The 4182-nt window shown below is 38.4% G+C and overlaps 1 annotated feature.

Moving 5' to 3' along the window:
- Positions 1578–2366: an enhancer, noted in NCBI's record as "OCT4-NANOG hESC enhancer chr2:21290821-21291609 (GRCh37/hg19 assembly coordinates)". NCBI's record gives its function as "activates a minimal SCP1, AML or CMV promoter by ChIP-STARR-seq in primed H9 embryonic stem cells {active_cell/tissue: H9 hESC(primed)}" and the evidence as "EXISTENCE:reporter gene assay evidence [ECO:0000049][PMID:30033119]".

The following is a 4182-nucleotide window of genomic DNA, read 5'->3' on the forward strand; positions in this document are numbered from 1 at the left end:
AGCTGGCTGATATTATTTTCTATTATCTGAGCAGCCAATCAAGGCTTTTTAAATACAAATCTTATACAACTCTCCAAAATCAATGTTACATAACTAAATGCACCTGGTGTGCTTAACTGTTAATTTTTCCTATCCTTTATTACTCAATGAGTAATGAATCAATTATGATAGAGACAGTTATCAATTTCGAATATTAAAAAGAATAAATAGAGGACAACATACTTTTTCTAAAGCCCAACTTTTTCACTTGTTGTCAGATCACTGAATTTAGTGAATGAATTAATTTTGCTAATGTTAATTATCTGTAAGAAATGTATTACCCTAAATAATCAGGATTAAAACAAGCCCATGGTGTGGCTTTCTTTTTTTTTTAAGTTGAGGTATTATTACACAAAGAAAAAGAAGCAATTCTAAATTATGTATGGAATTAATCTTGGTTGGACTTGGGTAAGCCACAATGGGAAATTAGGCGACAGTTAATCTTCTGATAAATACATCTGGATTTAGACTACACAATTGTTTAGAAGTTATTTGGGAACTTAGAGGACAATTCCTCTAGGTAAATTGTTTCCCCTAAGTTCCCAGCAATGGGGTGATTCTGAGGCTAAAACAAATAAAACCCCCCAAGCCCCCCAAAACTGTCTTACCCACAACAAAAGAGAAGCACAACAGCCCAATAATTTTAAAGAATAAAGCTAGATCTGCTTAGATGCAAATTTTTAAAAATCAGATTGTATAGACACAATATGATCAAATATACAATTAGCAAAGATAAGCCTCTGAACTGCAATAAGCCAACTCAAAAAAAAAAAAAAAAAATACACGACGGCCCAGCCGGAGATAAGAGAGTCAGCCCAGTATTTTCTCTCCATGTTTTTAAGAGCAGCAGTTATGGTGACAGAATCTACCACAGGGTGATCTATGCTCTCCACACCGATGACAGAAGTGACATTCACTGCATTGCACAACAAATTGTTTTCAACTTACTTGTTTTTGGACATGCTGCTGCAGTCGGAGGGAAATTGGAAATCTTGTACACACCTTATAAGGAGTAACATATGACACTGCATTTTTCAGGAAATCAGTTGGACCTCAGATTTGGTCAAAGTACTTCTAGATCCCATTGAAGTGGTGATACTGTGATGCTGAGAATCTGCTCTGAGCACTTGTTTAGTTGATATTGGGGCAGTAAACCATATGGAAGGTAGATTCTGTCACTCTAAAGATTTTCTCCTCCTTTTCATCCAGGGTTATATGACTATTCTTCTTACTACAAGAATGGCAAAATTACAGTGGAGGAAACTAATCATTAAATTTTTTTTTTTTTTTCTTTTTTTTTTTTTTTTTTTTTTTTTTTTTTTTTACCACAGAGCTCTTTGATCATCTGGTAAGAGCTAACGACCTCTTATAGAAATCTACAAATGCCCAGAAAATTTTGCACAGAACTTCAAGAGGTTACTCAGCTACTGAAATCCATCCCTGGACCCCCCGAAACTCCTTAATTAAGATGTTTACTGTGACAACTGGAGGATCAGGTTCATACCTTACTCTTCTCTGTCTGTGACATGACTTTTACCCCTGACCCAGACAGAGCCTTCAATATTGCCCCAGAGACCCACCTTGCCTTACAGTGTCTTGATAGTGGAGCCACACCAAGCTACTCAGGCAAGATGTGTCACTGATAACTCCTCAGTGCAGATATCAAGTTTCTGTAAGAATGTCCTAGTGGCAAAAGTTCACACTAAGCACAGTACATCAAGAATACAAATACAGCAAGTCTGGGGTGACAGATTTTCTACATTGTTCTACTTTCTGCCTCTCCCTCTTCCCTGGTCTATAGTTACCGTGCATAGTGACAGGCCAGACAGACAGACCACACTCCCCACTTGGCTCAGACTCTGTCCTGTACTCTGGCTCTTTCTCTTTTGTTTCTCCATGAGCCAAATTCTTTAGGAATTGCTCTGAATGAACCTCCTGGAAATCTCTAGGATCCCAGCTGTATCTCCCCTTTGTGATGTCTTTGTTACTGAGGAGTAATTAATTGTTACCTGGTGTGACATTTAAATATTCTTAGTATTCTGTCATTGTTTCTGACCATCCTCCTTCTGTAGCTAGGTCCTTGAGAGCAAGATGTCTATGGATATTACCCCTTGGAGCTAAGAAATGGATCAATTGAGATACGTTTCAATACTGGATTGAACTATTAAAGCATTAGGCAGGTAGCAAGGCTGAATCAAAATAGTCTTAGGAACATTGGAATAGGAAGGGCATGCTGTCTCCTCTGCGTTTTTCAAACTTTTTGAAAGTGATGCATTGTAATAAATCTTTTCCCCATTACGATAGAGTATACAAAATATGTGTAATAGAGACAAAAATTATCTGAAACAAAATTTACCCATATTACATGTGCTGCACTCTATTTTCTATTCTGTTCAATTTTATATTAAAAAAACAATAAGAAACACTGTTCACTGCCCATTACATGGATTTCATGACCCACTAATAGGTGGCGACTTGTTTGCAAAACACTGGCTTATCCCATGGGATTGGATTAAACTTGACAAGGAATTCTGCTCTGCCTTGCATTCTTCTCTAAAATCCATAAAAAGGTTTTTTTTTCTATTTATTAATTTACATAATATTCAAAGAGAATCCTTATAACAGTTCTGAACTGGGTTTTATATTAGGTTTCACAGATAACAAGTGGCAAAACTCATCGCCATAACCAGTCTTGGCATTTCAAATCGACGGCTATTTCCATCTTATCATGCTGCAATCTATCATCTGATTTTTCCCTGCCTAGACTCCCCACCTTGGCTGGAAGTACCCAAAAAGCTAGGAATGTACCTTAGCCATGCTAGGTACCCAGGAGGCACTTAATGAATATATGATAAACAGAATGGAATAACACTCTTGGTCAAAAGCCATGTCTTGGCTTGGCATGTTTTGGGACATCTTTGTTCCAAAACCTTATATAATTCTCTCTCTCTCTTTTTTATTATACTTTAAGTTCTAGGGTACATGTGCACAACATGCAGGTTTGTTACATATGTATACATGTACCATGTTGGCTTGCTGCACCCACCAACTCGTCATTTACATTAGGTATTTCTCCCAATGCTATCCCTCCCCCCACCCCCCTACCCCATGGCAGGCCCCGGTTTGTGATGTTCCCCGCCCTGTGTCCATGTGTTCTCATTGTTCAACTCCCACCTATGAGTGAGAACATGTGGCGTTTGGTTTTCTGTCCTTGTGATACTTTGCTTAGAATGATGAAAACCTTATGTAATTCTTAATAATCATACTTTCTTCATACTCTATGCGCCATTCATTAATGGGTTGGCACTGGAAACATTTCCCAAGCTTATAGGGAATTCTTCAATGAACATAGAGGAGCTACTGAGAGCTAAACACTCTTTGGTTCCTGCCTGTGATTGAGTTTTTCCCAGAACTCAAAGAGAGAATTTCAGAAAGGCCAATAAAAGCCCCCAACAGGAGAGTTTTTGTTTTTGCTAGTTTTCCCAAACAGCTGGCTTCCCTAAGGCTGTAATTTGTAAGCCTGGTTTCTACCAGACTCTAAATCCATAATCAATGATAAGCTATCAAGCATATGCCCTAATTTATATTACTTTGGGCCTTTTCTAGCCAAAACCAACATCCCTGGGGAAATACCAAAATACATCTGTCCTAAGGTAGATACCTTATGTCTGGGGAGGTAGGGGGTGGACAGCTAAGACTTGGTATTGAACAGGACTGAGTAATCGTCTAATGAATGAATGAGTGTATGGATAATCAAAGTGCAAATGCCTGCTATACATATGTAGGTATTCAGAATATTTTATATGCATTTATATGAGGCTCTTTTCCCTGATGACCTAGGAAGGGAAAAGACGGCAATAACATAGTCTTGTGGGTACTTGGGGAAGAAAAGTCAGGTGGAGAGAGAGAAACTGAGGGGAGCAAACAGAAGGTAAGGAGAGAAGAATAAAAGAATGAGAGGGAAACATCTGGCCGGAAAAGCAGGAAGGCCAGCAGCTCTGAATGCAGATCACAATCTTTGTTAGTCATCTTTATCTTACTGGTTACTTTGCTACTCAAAGTACACATTTCCTATGGTGGAAACTCCCTTGTTTACTTATTCTTCCTGACCCAGGTTTAAAAGGCCTGCCTAACCATCTCAGT

This window comes from Homo sapiens, chromosome 2 (genome assembly GCF_000001405.40).
Source record: "Homo sapiens chromosome 2, GRCh38.p14 Primary Assembly".
In the NCBI taxonomy this organism is placed as follows: Eukaryota; Metazoa; Chordata; class Mammalia; order Primates; family Hominidae; genus Homo; species Homo sapiens.